This window comes from Homo sapiens, chromosome 20 (assembly GCF_000001405.40).
Source record: "Homo sapiens chromosome 20, GRCh38.p14 Primary Assembly".
Lineage (NCBI taxonomy): Eukaryota > Metazoa > Chordata > Mammalia > Primates > Hominidae > Homo > Homo sapiens.
The window spans coordinates 7,940,459-7,958,001 of record NC_000020.11 but is presented as its reverse complement, the minus strand read 5'-3'; the positions used below and the strand labels follow the sequence as shown (position 1 = coordinate 7,958,001).

At 39.0% G+C, this 17,543-nt stretch overlaps 1 annotated feature.

The window, feature by feature from the left end:
- Nucleotides 1,211-1,882: an enhancer, noted in NCBI's record as "NANOG hESC enhancer chr20:7936767-7937438 (GRCh37/hg19 assembly coordinates)". NCBI's record gives its function as "activates a minimal SCP1, AML or CMV promoter by ChIP-STARR-seq in naive H9 embryonic stem cells {active_cell/tissue: H9 hESC(naive)}" and the evidence as "EXISTENCE:reporter gene assay evidence [ECO:0000049][PMID:30033119]".

Below are 17,543 nucleotides of genomic sequence, written 5' to 3'. Positions count from 1 at the left end.
CCTCCTCAAGTGGGTCACTGACCCCCGAGTAGCCTAACTTGGAGACACCTCCCAGTAGGAGCTGACTGACACCTCATACAGCTGGGTGACCCTCTGAGACGAAGCTTCCAGAGGAAGGATCAGGCAGCAACATTAGCTGTTCTGCAATATTTGCTGTTCCGCAGCCTCCGCTGATGATACCCAGGAAAACAGGGTTTGGAGTGGACCTCCAGCCAACTCCAACAGACCTGCAGCTGAGGGTCCTGACTGTTAGAAGGAAAACTAACAAACAGAAAGGAATAGCATCAACATCAACAAAAAGGACATCCACACCAAAACCCCATCTTTAGGTCACCATCATCAAAGACCAAAGGTAGATAAAACCACAAAGATGAGGAGAAATCTGAGCAGAAAAGTTGAAAATTCTAAAAACCAGAGTGCCTCCTTTCCTCCAAAGGATCGCAGCTCCTTGCCAGCAATGGAACAAAGCTGGATGGAAAATGACTTTGATGAGTTGACAGAAGTAGGTTTCAGGAGATCAGTAATAACAAAATTCTCTGAGCTAAAGGAGGACGGTTGAACCCATCACAAGGAAGCTAAAAACCTTGAAAAAAGATTAGACGAATGGCTAACTAGAATAAACAGCATAGAGAAGACCTTAAATGACCTGATAGAGCTGAAAACCATAGCACGAGAACAACGTGATGCATGCACAAGCTTCAGTAGCCGATTCGATCAAGTGGAAGAAAGGGTATCTGTGATTGAAGATCAAATGAATAAAATGAAGCGAGAAGAGAAGTTTAGAGAAAAAAGAGTAAAAAGAAATGAACAAAGCCTATAAGAAATATGGGACTATGAATGGGTGGGTTGCCCCTCCACACCTGTGGGTGTTTCTCGTTAGGTGGAATGAGAGACTTGGAAAAGAAAGAGACACAGAGACAAAATATAGAGAAAGAAAAAGGGGGCCCAGAGGACCGGCATTCGGCATACGGAGGATCCACACCAGCCTCTGAGTTCCCTTAGTATTTATTGATCATTATTGGGTGTTTCTTGGACAGGGGGATGTGGCAGGTTCATAGGATAATAGTGGAGAGAAGGTCAGCAGGTAAAAACGTGAACAAAAGTCTCTGCATCATAAACAAGGTAAAGAATTAAGTGCTGTGCTTTAGCTATGTATACACATAAACATCTCAATGCCTTAAAGAGCAGTATTGCTGCCCGCGTGTCCCAACTCCAGCCCTAAGGCGGTTTTCCCCTATCTCAGTAGATGGAATATACAATCGGGTTTTACAAAGAGACATTCCATTGCCCAGGGATGGGCAGGAGACAGATGCCTTCCTCTTGTCTCAACTGCAAAGAGGCGTTCCTTCCTCTTTTACTAATCCTCCTCAGCACAGACCCTTTATGGGTGTCGGGCTGGGGGATGGTCAGGTCTTTCCCTTTCCACGAGGCCGTATTTCAGACTATCACATGGGAAGAAACCTTGGACAATACCTGGCTTTCCTAGGCAGAGGTCCCTGCGGACTTCCGCAGTGTTTTGTGTCCCTGGGTACTTGAGATTAGGGAGTGGTGATGACTCTTAAGGAGCATGCTGCCTTCAAGCATTTGTTTACAAAGCACATCTTGCACAGCCCTTAATCCATTTAACCCTGAGTTGACACAGCACATGTTTCAGGGAGCACAGGGTTGGGGGTAAGGTTACAGATTAACAGCATCTCAAGGCAGAAGAATTTTTCTTAGTACAGAACAAAATGGAGTCTCCTATGTCTACTTCTTTCTACACGGAGACAGTAATAATCTGATCTCTCTTTCTTTTCCCCACAGGACTATGTGAAAAGACCAAATCTACATTTGATTGGTGTACCTGAAAGTGACGGGGAGAATGGAACCAAGTTGGAAAACACTCTGCAGGATATTATCCAGGAGAACTTCCCCAACCTAGCAAGGCAGGCCAACATGCAAATTCAGGAAATGCAGAGAACACCACAAAGATAGTCCTCGAGAAGAGCAACCCCAAGACACATAATTGTCAGATTCACCAAGGTTGAAATGAAGGAAAAAATTTTAAGAGCAGCCAGAGAGAAAGGTCGGGTTACCCACAAAGGGAAGCCCATCAAACTAACAGTGGATCTCTCGGCAGAAACTCTACGAGCTAGAAGAGAGTGGGGGCCAATATTCAACATTCTTAAAGAAAAGAATTTTCAACCCAGAATTTCATATCCAGCCAAACTAAGCTTCATAAGTGAAGGAGAAATAAAATCCTTTACAGACAAGCAAATGCTGAGAGATTTTGTCACCACCAGGTCTGCCTAACAAGAGCTCCTGAAGGAAGCACTAAACATAGAAAGGAAAAACCAGTACCAGCCACTGCAAAAACATGCCAAATTGTAAAGACCATCGATGCTAGGAAGAAACTGCATCAACTAATGAGCAAAATAACCAGCTAACATCATAATGACAGGATCAAATTCTCACATAACAATATTAACCTTAAATGTAAATAGGCTAAATGCCCCCATTAAAAGACACAGACTGGCAAATTGGATACAGAGTCAAGACCCATCAGTGTGCTGTATTCAGGAGACCCGTATCATGTGCAGAGACACACATAGGCTCAAAATAAAGGGATGGAAGAAGATCTACCAAGGAAATGGAAAATGAAAAAAAGGCAGAGGTTGCAATCCTAGTCTCTGATAAAACAGACTTTAAACCAACAAAGATCAAAAGAGACAAAGAAAGCCATTACATAATGGTAAAGGGATCAATTAAACAAGAAGAGCTAACTATCCTAAATATATATGCACCCAATACAGGAGCACCCAGATTCATAAAGCAAGTCCTTAGAGACCTACAAAGAGACTTAAACTCCCACACGATAATAATGGGAGACTTTAACACCCTACTGTCAACATTAGACAGATCAACGAGACAGAAAGTTAAGAAGGATATTCAGGACTTGAACTCAGCTCTGCACAAAGCAGACCTAACAGACATCTACAGAATTCTCCACCCCAAATCAACAGAATATACATTTTTTTCAGCACCACACCACACCTATTCCAAAATTGACCACATAGTTGGAAGCACTCCTCAGCAAATGTAAAAGAACAGAAATCATAACAAACTGTCTCTCAGACCACAGTGCAATCAAATTAGAACTCAGCATTAAGAAACTCACTCAAAACCACACAACTACATGGAAACTGAACAACCTGCTCCTGAATGACTACTGGGTACATAACGAAATGAAGGCAGAAATAAAGATGTTCTTTGAAACCAATGAGAACAAAGGCACAACATACCGGAATCTCTGGGACGCATTTAAAGCAGTGTGTAGAGGGAAATTTATAGCACTAAATGCCCACAAGAGAAAGCAGGAAAGATCTAAAATTGACACCCTAACATCACAATTAAAAGAACTAGAGAAGCAAGAGGAAATACATTCAAAAGCTAGCAGAAGAAATAACTAAGATCAGTGCAGAACTGAAGGAGATAGAGACACAAAAAAAACCTTTCAAAAAATCAATGAATCCAGGAGCTGGTTTTTTGAAATAATCAACAAAATTGATAGACCTCTAGTCAGACTAATGAAGAAAAGAGAGAATAATCAAATAGATGCAATAAAAAATGATAAAGGGGATATCACCACTGATCCCACAGAAATACAAACTACCATCAGAGAATACTATAAACACCTTTACATGAATAAACTAGACAATCTAGAAGAAATGGATAAATTCCTGGACACATACACCCTCCCAAGACTAAACCAGGAAGAAGTTGAATCCCTGAATAGACCAATAACAGGCTCTGAAATTGAGGCAATAATTAATAGCCTACCAACCAAAAAAAGTCCAGGACCAGAAGGATTCACAGCCGAATTCTACCAGAGGTACAAAGAGGAGCTGGTATCATTCCTTCTGAAACTATTCCAATCAACAGAAAAAGAGGGAATCCTCCCTAACTCATTTTGTGAGGCCAGCATCATCATGATACCAAAGCCTGGCAGAGATGCAACCAAAGAAGAGAATTTTAGACCAATATCCCTGATGAACATCGATGCAAAAATCCTCAATAAAATGCTGGCAAACCGAATCCAGCAGCACATCAAAAAGCTTATCCACCATGAACAAGTTGGCTTAATCCCTGGGATGCAAGGCTGGTTCAACATATGCAAATCAATAAACGTAATCCAGCATATAAACAGAACCAAAGACAAAATCCACATGATTATCTCAATAGATGCAGAAAAGGCCTTTGACAAACTTCAACAGCCCTTCCTGCTAAAAACTCTCAATAAACTAGGTATTGACGGGATGTATCTCAAAATAATAAGAGCTATTTATGACAAACCCACAGCCAATATCATACTGAATGGGCAAAAACTGGAAGCATTCCCTTTGAAAACTGGCACAAGACAGGGATGCCCTCTTTCCCACTCCTATTTAACATAGGGTTGGAAGTTCTGGCCAGGGCAATAAGGCAGGAGAAAGAAATAAAGGGTATTCGATTAGGAAATGAGGAAGTCAAATTGTCCCTGTTTGCAGATGTCATGATAGCATATTTAGAAAACCCCATCGTCTCAGCCCAAAATCTCCTTAAGTTGATTAGCAACTTCAGCAAAGTCTCAGGATACAAAATCAATGTGCAAAAATCACAAGCATTCCTGTACACCAATAGCAGACAAACAGAGAGCCAAATCATGAGTGAACTCCCATTCACAATTGCTAAAAAGAGAATAAAAGAGCTAGGAATCCAACTTACAAGGGATGTGAAGGATCTCTTCAAGGAGAACTACAAACCACTGCTCAATGAAATAAAAGAGTACCCAAACAAATGGAAGAACATTCCATGCTCATTGATAGGAAGAATCAATAACATGAAAATGGCCATACTGCCTAAGGTAATTTGTAGATTCAATGCCATCCCCATCAAGCTACCAATGACTTTCTCCACAGAATTGGAAAAAACTACTTTAAAGTTCATATGGAACCAAGAAAGAGCCCTCATTGCCAAGACAATCCTAAGCCAAAAGAACAAAGCTGGAGGCATCGCACTACCTGGCTTCAAACTATATTACAAGGCTGCAGTAAGCAAAACAGCATGGTACTGGTACCAAAACAGAGATATAGACCAATGGAACAGAACAGAGCCCTCAGAAATAATACCACACATCTACAGCCATCTGATCTTTGACAAACCTGACAAAAACAAGAAATGGGGAAAGGATTCCCTATTTAATAAACGGTGCTGGGAAAACTGGCTAGCCATATGTAGAAAGCTGAAATTGGATCCCTTCCTTACACCTTATACAAAAACTAATTCAAGATGGATTAAAGACTTAAATGTTAGACCTATAACCATAAAAACCCTAGAAGAAAACCTAGGCCATACCATTCAGGTCCTAGGCATGGGCAAGGGCTTGATGAGTAAAACACCAAAAGCAATGGCAACAAAAGCTGAAATAGACAAATGGGATCTAATTAAACTAAAGAGCTTCTGCACAGCAAAAGAAACTACCATCAGAGTGAACAGGCAACCTACAGAATGGGAGAAAATTTCACAATCTACCCATCTGACAAAGGGCTAATATTCAGAATCTACAAAGAACTTAAACAAATTTACAAGAAAGAATCAAACAACCTCATCAAAAAGTGGGCAAAGGATATGAACAGACACTTCTCAAAAGAAGACATTTATGCAGCCAACAGACACATGAAAAAATGTTCATCATCACTGGCCATTAGAGAAATACAAATCAAAACCACAATGAGATACCATCTCACACTAGTTAGAATGGCAATCATTAAAAAGTCAGTAAACAACAGGTGCTGGAGAGGATGTGGAGAAAAAGGAAAACTTTTACACTGTTGGTGGGACTGTAAACTAGTTCAACCATTGTGAAAGACAGTGTGGCGATTCCTCAAGGATCTAGAACTAGAAATACCATTTGACCCAGTGATCCTATTACTGGGTATATACCCAAAGGATTATAAATCATGCTACTATAAAGAAACATGCACACGTCTGTTTATTGCAGCACTATTCACACCAGCAAAGACTTGGAACCAACCCAAATGTCCATCAATGATAGACTGGATTAAGAAAAAGTGGCACATATACACCATGGAATACTATGCAGCCATAAAAAAGGAAGAGTTCATGTCCTTTGTAGGGACATGGATGAAACTGGAAACCATCATTCTGAGCAAACTATCGCAAGGACAGGAAACCAAACACCACATGTTCTCACTCGTAGGTGGGAATTGAACAATGAGAACACTTGGACACAGGGTGGGGAACATCACACACTGGGGCTTGTCATGGGGTGGGGGGAGGGGGGAGGGATAGCATTAGGAGATATACCTAATGTAAATGATGAGTTAATGGGTGCAGCACACCAACATGGCGCATGTATACATATGTAACAAACCTGCAGGTTGTGCACATGTATTAAAAAAAAAGGATGTAAAGTAAAACCACTATGAAATGGTTTTTATACTTGTAAGGGGCACTCTTTCCAGCTGTCCAGGATACCCGTTTCTCCCAGCCATTAGCGCTTGAGACAACTTAACCTCTTCTAATGTCTAGAAGGATGGAAATAACTAAGACTCAACCAAACTCTATCCCTCATTTAAAATAAAATGCCTCTTAAAAGGATAAAAACAGGAAATATGACATTTCTCTAAACAGTGTAATAGTAATAGATGTAATAGTATAAATTACATCTGTGACAAATAATGAAAAAAATCCAGTTGAGGATGTGAAGTTCTTATTGCTTCCTTCCAGGTTGTGCTTAGTTACCCTTGAGAGAAAGGAACAGGAGAGAGTTCCTCAAGATGGCCTTGTGGTTTGGAAAATATCCAAAGGTTGTGGAGATGTCGGGACATTATTCTGCAGATTTTGTTTTGTTTTCTTTTTTTTTTTTTGAGATGGAGTTTCACTCTTGTTGCACAGGCTAGAGTGCAATGGTGCCATCTTGGCTCACCACAACTTCTGCCTTCAGGGTTCAAGCAATTCTCCTGTGCCAGCCTCCCAAGTGGCTGGAATTACAGGCGTATGCCACCACGCCCAGATAATTTTTTTTGTATTTTTAGTAGAGACGGGGTTTCTCCATGTTGGTCAGGCTGGTCTCGAACTCCCGATCTCAGGTGATCCGCCTGCCTCGGCCTCCAAAGTGCTGGGATTACAGGCGTGAGCCACCATACCCTGCCTATTCTGCAGATTTTATTGGGATATTAGGGAGGATTAGAAGTTAAGATTTTATTAAGTCCAGTGGCAAGAAAACACAAAAACACCAAAGCCTATTCTTCTGGCCACGGTGAAGGAGGGGGCCTGAACCCAGCAGATGCCATTTGCATTGATGTTTACCATTCTGATTCCCAAACTTGTGGGGATAGTGGGGGCAATGAGTGTGCAAATGTAACATTTAGCAGCTTGAAAAGACCTGAACTTGTTTTGCTGTGGTGTGCCTCTTTAGCATCTGACTTCAGAGACCTGGAGAGAAGTTTTAAAGAATGTATTGTGTCTGATAGAATGTGAGATATTTTAACAATGCAATCATTGCAAATTAACAAAAGCTGTTCTAATCTCCAACCACTGTTTTCATTCTACCCACCAAGAGATTAAGCAATGTGGGGACTGCATTTCAGAATTTACCTACTAAGATGGTACACCAAATCAACTGTTGGGCTGCAGTAGTACAAAAAGAAAAAAAGTGGATTTTTTTTTTTAATTTAAGCTTCTTATGGGTGCTCATGTCTTATCTAACTCAACTCAAGACAAAAAACCTAGTGTTCCTGCATTCATCGATGCCATAATATTTATAATAATTCAACAACAAAGACCCTGTACAGAGCATTAGCTCTCTGAATACTTCCAGAAATGAAGCCAATGGACTATATTCAATGTATAACACAGTCAAAGGAACATCAACTCTCCCAGATACAAAAGAATCAGTGTAAGAACTCTGGCAATTCAAAAAGTCAGTGTCCTCCTACCTTCAAATGAGCCCACTAGCTTTCCAGCAATGGTTCTTAACCAGTGTGAAAGTCTGAAAAGAGAGACATAGAATTCAAAATCTGGATGGCAAGGAAGCTCATTGAGATCCAGGAATAAGTTAAAACTCAATCCAAGGAAGCCAAGCAATCCAGTAAAATGATTCGAGTTGAAAGACAAAGTAGCCATTTCAAGAAAGACCTAAACTAAATTCCTTGAACTGCAAAATTCACTATAAGAATTCGTTGAACAGTTGTAAGTATTAACAGCAGAAAAGAACAAGATGAGGCAAGAATCTCAGAGTTCAAAGACCAGTTCTTCAAATCAACTCAGTCAGATAAATATAAAGAAGAAAGAAATAAGAAAGATGAACAAAACTTCCAAGAAATATGGGATTATGTAAAGAGAACAAATCTACATCTCATTGGCATTCCTGAGAGAGAAAGAGAGGAAATGAACAACCTGGAAAATATATTTAATGAAGAGGTAATTTGTGAAAATGTTCCTAATCTCTCTAAAGAAGTTGACATGCAAATCCAAGAAATACAGAGAACCTCAGCTAGATACTATACAAGATAACCATCCCCAAGGCACACAGTCATCAGATTCACCAATGACAATGCAAAAGAAAAAAATCTTAAAGGCAGCTGGGAGAAGGGGCAGGTGACTTATGGAAGGAACCCCATCAGGCTAGAAGCAGACCTCTCAGAAGAAACCTTACAAGCCAGAAGAGGTTAGGGGTCTATTTTCACTGCCCTAAAAGAAAAGAAATTTCAAACAAGAATTTCATATCCAACCAAACTAAGCTTCATAAGTGAAGGAAAAATAAAATACTTCTTAGATAAGCAAATGCTGAAAGAGTACATTTCATTAGAGCAGTCTTACAAGAGGCCCTTAGGGAGTGCAAAACATGGAATCAAAAGAATGATACCTGCTGCCGCAAAAACATGTGTAAGCACATAGCCCACAGGCACTATAAAACAACTGCACAATTAAGTCTACATAACAACCAGCTAACAACATGATGACAGGATTAAAATCACACATATCAATACTAACATTAAATGCAAATATGCCAAATGCCCCACTTAAAATACATAGAGTGTCAGGCTGGATAAAATGATAAGACCTAATCATCTGTTGTCCTTCACAAGACCCATTGCACATGTAATGACACCAACGACTCAAAGTAAAAGGATGAAGAAAGGTTTACAACGCAAATGGAAAACAAAAAAGAGTAGGAGTCACTATTCTTACATCAGATAAAACAGACATTATGCCAATAAATATTAAGGACAGTGAAGGGCATTACGTAAAGATAAAGGGTACAATCCAACAAGAAGCCTTAACTATCATACATATATAAGCACCCAGTCTGGAGCCCACTGTTTAATTAAGCAAGTTCTTGGTCTAAGAAAAGACTTAGCAACCCCACACTAATAGGGGAGACTTCAATACCCCACTGACAGTGTTAGACAGATTATCAAGGGAGAAAACCGACAAAGAAACTCTGGAAAAAGTCAACTCTTCACCAGTTGGACCTAATAGTCATCTACAGAACACTCCACCCAGCAACCACAGAATATATATTTTTCTCATCTGCACATGGAACATGTTCTAAGGTTGACCACATGCTCAGTCGTAAAGCCAGTCTCAATAAATTCAAAGAATTGAAATCACACCATGCACACTCTCAGACTATGTGCAATAAAACCAGAAATCATTATCAAGATAATCTCTCAACACCACTGAAATACATGGAGGTTAAACAACTTGCTCCTGAATAACTCCTGAGTAAACATTGAAATTAAGGCAGAAATAAAAAAAATCTTTGAAATTAATGAAAATAGGGACACAACTTAGCAAAATCCCTGGGATGCAGCCAATGCATTGTTAAGAGGAAAGTTTATAGCCCTAAGTGCCTTCATCAAGAAGTTAGAAATATTTCAAATCAACAGACTAGCTCTACACCTAAAGGAAGTGAAAAAAAGAGAATAAACTAGACTCAAATCTAGCAGAAGAAAAGAAGAGCTAAATTAGAGAAGAGCTTAATGAAATTGAGATGCAAAAATACAAACAAAACAAACATCAATGAAACCAAGAGTTGGTTGTTCAAAATAAAAAAAAAAAGATTGATTGACTACCAGCTAGACTAACAAAGAAAAAGAGAAGATCCAAAAAAGCATAACCAGAAATAACGGAGGCAATATTACAACTACAGAAATACAAAATACAAAAATACAGAAATACAAAAGATCCTCAGAGACTACTATGCACAACTCTTTGCACACAAATTAGAATATCTAAAGGAAATGGATAAATTCGTGGAAACGCACAATTTCCTGAGATTGAATTAGGAAGATATTGAAACCCCGAACAGACCAATATCAGCTTCTGAAATTGAATGAGTAATAAAGAACATACCAAGAAAATAAAAGACCTGAACCAGATGGTTTCACAGCCAAATTCTGCCAGATGTGCAAAGAAGAACTGATTCCAATCCTACTGAAACTATTAAAAAAATTGAGAAGAATCTCCTCACTCATTCTGTGAAGCACAATCAGCCTGATACCAAAATCTGGCACAGACACAACAGAAATAAAAAGGTTCAGGCCAATATTACTGATGAACATAGATGTAAAAATTCTCAACGAAATATTAGCAAACCGTACCCAGCAGCACATCGAAAAGTTCATACACCACAATCAAGTAGGAAATACATGCAAAAATCAATAAATGTGATTCACCACATAAATACAATTAAAAGCAAAATCTATGTGATTATCTCAATACATGCAGAAAAAGCATGAGATAAAATGTAACATCACTTTATGACAAAAACCCTTAACAGATTAGGTATTGAAGGAAAATACCTCAAAATAATAACAGCCATCTATGACAAACACACAGCCAACATTATACTTAATGGGCAAAAGTTCAAACCATTCCCCTTGAAAACTGGAACAAGACAAAGATTCCCCACTCTCACCATGTCTATTTAACATAGCATTGGAAGTCCTAGCCAGAGGAATCAAACAAGAGAAAAAAAAAAAAGGCACCCAAATAGGAAAAGAAGTAATCAAACTATCTGTGTTCACTGATGATATAATTCTATGCCTAGAAAATCCTATAAGCTCTGCCAAAAGGCTCCTAGAACTCATAAGTGACTTTAGTAAGGTTTCACGATACAAAATCAACGTATAAAAATAAGTCACATTTCTATACATCAACAATGTCCAGGATGAGAGTGAAAGCAAGAACACAATTCCACTTACAATAGCCACAAAAGAAATGAAATACCTAGTAATACAGCTAATCAGGGAGGTAAAAGTGCTGTACGAGGAGACTATAAACCCTGCTGAAAGAAATCAAAGATGACATAAATAAATGGAAAAACATTCCATGCTCATGGATTGGAAGAATTAATATCATAAAACAGCCATACTGCCAAAAGCAATCTACAAATTAAACACTATTCCTATCAAACTACCAATGTCATGCTTCACAGAATTAGAAAAAACAACAGCAACAACAACAACAAAAACAAAAACTTCTAAAATTCACATGGAACCAAGAAAGAGCCCGAATAGCCAAAGCAATCCTAAGCAAAAAGAACAAAGCTGGAGGCATCACACCACCCAACTTCAAACTATACTATAAAGCTACAGTAACCAAAATAATATAGTACTAGTACAAAAACAGACACATAGACTAATGGAACAGAAAAGAAAACTCAGAAATATGCCACATACCTACAACCATTTGACTCTTGCCAAGGCTGACAAAAACAAGCAATGGGGAAAGGACTCTCTATTCAATAAATTGTCCTGGGATAGCTGGCCAGCCATATGCCAAAGACTGAAGCTGGACCCCTTTCACCATATACAAAAATTAACTAAACATGGATCACAGATTTAAATGTAAGACTTCAAACTATAAAATTACTAGAAGACAACCTAGGAAACACTCTTCTTGACATTGGCCCTGGCAAGAAATTTTTGGCTAAGTTCCCAAAAGCAATTTCAATAAAAACAAAAATGGAAAAGTGGGACATAATTAAACTAAAAAGGTTCTGCACAGCAAAAGAAGCTATTAACAGGGTAAATAGACAACCTACAGAATGGGAGAAGATATTTGCAAATTATGCGTCCAATAAAGGCTTAATATCTAGAATCTATAGGGAACATAAAGAAATCAACAAGCAAGAAACAAATAACCTCATTAAAAAATGGGCAAAGTATATGAGCAGATACTCCTCAAAAGAAGACAGACAAGCAGCCAAGAAACATAAAAAAATTCTCAGCATCTCTAATCATCAGAAAAATGCAAATCAAAATCACAATGAGATACCATTTTACACCAGTCAGAATGGCTATTAGTAAAAGGTCAAAAAAAACAACAGATGTTGGACAGTCTGTGAAGAAAAGAGAATGTTTATACATTGTTGGTGGGAATGTAAATTAGTACAGCCACTGTGGAAAGCAGTCTGGAGATTTCTCAGAGAACTTAAAATAGAGCTACCATTCGACTCAGCAATACCATTACTGGCATATACCCAAGGGAAAATAAATCATTCTACCAAAAGGACACATACACCCATATGTTCACTGATGCAGTATTCACAATAGCAAATACATGGAATCAATCCAGGTGCTCTTCAGTGGTAGATTGGATAAAGAAAATGTGGTACATATATACCATGGAATGCTGTACAGCCATAAAAAAGAATGGAATAATGTCCTTTGCAGCAACATGGAGATGGTTGGAGGCCATAATCCTAAGTGAGTTAATGCAAGAGTAGAAAACCAAATACTGCATGTTCTTACTTAGAAGTGGAAGCTAAACATTGAGCACACATGGACATAAATATGAGAACAACAGACACTGCAGGCTACTACAGTGGGGAGGGAGGGAAGGGAGCATGGATTGAAAAACTACCTATTGAGTACTGTGATCACTACCTAGGTGACAGGATTTGTACCCCAAACCTCAGCGTCATTCCATATCCCCAGGTAACAAAGCTGCATATGTGCCTTGGTATCTAATATAAAAGTTGAAATTATAAAAAAGAATAAGCCTCTTAAGAAAAAAGTCCCCCTTTACATTCCATCTCGCCTAAACCATGGTCCTCAAACAATGTTGTGCATCAAATCACCTGGAAGGCTTGTTACAGCACAAATAGCTGTAGAGTTTCTGATTCAGTAGGACTAGGATGACGCCTGGAACTTGCATTTCTAATGACTTCCTAGGTGATGCTGATGCTGCTGGTTCAAAGTCACACTTTAAGAACCAATGGCCCTTATGTGTCTTCTTTAGTTTCACCGGGACTTGACCTGATTAACAATATTAGATTGCCTCTTCATTCTAATCACATTAGTTGCAGGATGCTAATTATTTTAATAAATGCTAAATTTGCACATAAATATGCAGATAAAAGGTCATGCTTTAATCTTTACATTTTGAATGAGTTATAAGCCATAATTAAGATCCCTTTGACCACATTTTCATAATAATTTTGTTAACTATGAAACTGAATTATTTAGAACTTGCTTATCTTATTGGCAGATTTTTCACATCCTAATAGCGATTTTAATATGTCATTTCATCTGTCACTACATTGATGCAAAAAGTAAGCATTTGTGAACTTTGAGAATAAACCTATGTACTATAAAATTCTATGTCAATTTTAACAGCATATGACCCTTCGATTAAATTAAAACCCTTTATTTTTTATATACTATATCATTACAGCTGGGAAAGACCTAATGGCTTATATTTTTGGTTCTGGTTTCATTCCCAGTTTGCCTAATAGGCTGCTATGGAGCCTGCATCTTTGGTTTCTAGTTGCTTTGTCAGTAGTAAAAATAGATTTGATCCATATCCTCTCTCCTGCTCCTTTTGGTGACCCACAGCATGGGAATTTCATATAACAGGTGACCGTGCTTTGTGTTCACTCTGTGGCCACAGGTCAAAACTAAGTCACAGATTACATACTGAACCCCTTAGTATTCTTCTTCATCTTAGACGATTTTCCTTCTCCAAAATAAACTCAAAGGGTATTTACCCACTGTAAGATATGATTTTACACCCTATTCTTTCTACCATATAAAGCCTCATGAAGCATGGGATAAGGCAATTTTCAAAAAGATCTGATAATATAAATATACATTAGTTATGAAAGACACTTCTCTTGGGGGTGTAGAAAATAAACTGGACTAATTGCAAATCTAGCAAAGAAATACTCAAAGGGATTAACTTACTTGAAGAAAAATGGCAATGGCCTTCCAGAAGCTCAAGAATCCCTTTGTCCAATCTCTCGTACATTAGGGAATTGTCCTTATATAATTGACATTAAACAAAAGTCTTTTGGAAAAATGTGTTGGTAAAGTATATTGAGAAGATGAGGGTGGGTAATATTAATGAAATACAGTTTATCATTGAACAATATGGGGGTTAGAGGTACCGACCCACCGTGTAAAACTTTCGACTCCCCCAAAACTTAACAACTAGTAGCCTACTGTTGACTGGAAGCCTTACCAATAACAAAATCAACTTACACATATTTTATATGTTACATGTGTTATATACTGTATTCTTACAATAAAGCAAGCTAGAAAAAAGAAAATGTTATTAAGAAAATCATAAGGAAGGGAAAATATATTTACTATTCATAAAGTGTAAGTGGTACATCAAAACTCTTCATCCTTGTCATCTTCACATTGTGTAGAATAAGGAGCAGGAGGAAGAGGAGAAGTTGGTTTTGCTGTCTCAGGGGTGGAAGAATCTAAAGAAAATCTACATATAAGTGGACCCTTTTTTTTGTTCAAAGGTCAACTGTGCCTACTATATGCCAGGTGTTTAAGCGATGATATATCCTTTGTCCTCACAGTCACTCCTCAGGGTAGGGATGAATATTTCTCTTTGTCTTGGTTTGAGTTTCACCAAAAGGAGACTGAGAGGCAAGCATTCAAATGCAAGGAGTTTATTTGGGAGGTGAAGGGAGCACCAATGAGGAGTAGGGAAGTCTGATTAGAAGGGAAGGCAGCCAGGCCGGGCACGGTGGCTCATGCCTGTAATCCCAGCACTTTGGGAGGCTGAGTTGGGCGGATCACGAGGTCAAGAGATCAAGACCATCCTGGCCAACATGGTGAAACCCCATCTCTACTAAAAACACAAAAATCAGCTGGGTGTGGTGGCATGAGCCTGTAATCCCAGCTACTCGGGAGGCTGAGGCAGGAGAATTGCTTGAACCTGGGAGGCGGAGGTTGCAGTGAGCCGAGATTGCGCCACTTCACTCCAGTCTGGTGACGGCGTGAGACTCCATCTCAAAACAAAAAACAAACAAAAAAGGAACATAGCCAACACAGCATAGATTATCAACCAGCTCACACTGTGGATAACTGAAACCTGCAATGTAGAACATAATCCTAGGAGTAATCCCACCAGAAGAATGAACTTTCTTGGGCTTGTGATTGAGGGCTGTTCCACAGGGTATGGAACTATACTATTTGGCATGCTATGTTTATGAAAAAAGCAGGCTCCAAGTTCAAGAGCAAGTTCTCCTACAGGTGTAGGTGGTTGGAATGTAGATAGTGAACAACTGGCAAGCAGCTTTAAGTGGCGGCTCCTAGATTGAAACTCAGGTCTAACTGTAGTTAAAATCATTGCTTTCTCAAGCATATCCTACTAATGTGAATCTTCCCCAGGTGTTCCATGATTGAGTGAAATTATAGACTGAGACCACAGGTCTTTTGGAATAGCACTTCCCTATACCCTCTCCAGGGCAAGATAAGACTCTAAGAATTAGTGGTAGGCCATGTGCAGTGGCTCACACCTGCAATCCCAGCACTCTGGGAGGCCGAGGTGGTTGGATCACTTGAGGTCAGGAGTTTGAGACCAGCCTGGCCAATATAGTGAAACCCCATCTTTACTAAATAAAAATACAAAAATTAGCCAGGCGTGGTGGACATGCCTGTAGTCCCAGTTACTTGGGAGGCTGAGGCAGAATAATCTCTTGAACCTGGGAGGTAGAGGCTGCAATGAGCCGAGATCACACCACTGCACTCCAGCCTGGGAGACAGAGAAAGACTCCATCTCAAAAAGAAAAAAAAAAAGAATTAATGGTAAACCTAAATGCCCATTAAGAGACAAATGGATAAGGGAAATGTATAGATATACACACAATGAAATATTATTCAGCCTTATAAGAGAAGGGAATCCTGTCATTTGCAGTAGAACCCAGAGAACATTATGCTAAGTGAAATAAGCCAGGCACAAAAGGGAAATTATTGCATTATTTCACTTATAGGTGGGATTTTGTTTTAAAAAAGACTTCAAATGCACAGAGCTAGAGAATGAAACAGTGAATACCACTAGTGGGAAGCAGGGAAGAGGAAAAGGGGTGATATAGGTCAAAGGATACAAAATAGTAGACACGTAGGATACATAAATCTACAACAGGGTCCCTAACCTTTTCGGCACCAGGGACAAGTTTTGTGGAATACAATTTTTCCATGGGCAGTGGGGGTAGGTGGATGGTTTTGGAATGAAACTGTTCCACCTCAGATCATCAGGCATTAGATTCTCATAAGGAGTGGCGCAACCTAGATCCCTCGCATGTGCAGTTCACAATAGGAGGCGGAGCTCAGTCTGTAAAGCTTGCTCACCGGCTGCTCACCTCCTGCTGTGCAGCTTGGTTCCTAACAGGCCACGGACCAGTACCAGTCCATGCTGGGGAGTTTGGGACCCCTGGTCTAGAGAGCAAACGTGCAAAATGAGGACTAAAGTTAATAAAATTGTATCATATTAGGAATTTTTGTTAAATAAGTTGATTTTAGCTGTTCTTGTCATACACACAAAAAAGTAATTACGGGTGAGATGATACATATATTATATTGGCCTCCCTACTGTAACCATTTTTCTGTGTATATGTATCTCATAATATCATGTTGTAAACCTCAAATATACAGAATGAATAAAACAATTAGCTGTCAATTTGGCCTTAATGTTCCATGTTAAAGCCAAATGTCTATGTTTGTAATCAGCTAAATTTTATATTGTGCAGAAGCCCTGAATTTCACGGATGCCCCATATTTCATGGATGCCCCGTTCAGTTCATAAGCTCTTGTTTACATGATTTGTGCATGATCCAAATGTGGAAAGAAAATGAGTGGGCAGCCTATTCTGGGTATCAAGCAAAGAGCACAGGCACAGACCATGTGCAATAAGCAGCCTTAGGCAAAACTGAACCAAGAGTGGTTTCATACAGGTATTCCTCTAAGTCTTTAATTTTTTACTTATTCCTTTCCCCTTTTTAATGTGATAGACACCTAATCACCTTCTGCTGCCTTCCCAACCTCAACTTTGGTGTTCTTTGGCAGATAGTGACTTCGGTGTTCTTTGGCAGATAGCCTACAAATGAAATTTCAAAGGCTAAGCATATAATGTTTGCTCACTTGATGTAAGCAACAGAGAACTAAATCTGAACTTTGGCAAAAGTCTATTAATAATTGACAAATAACAGAACAGTGAGGATGTAGAAAGCAATACATTAAAAAAAAAAAAAC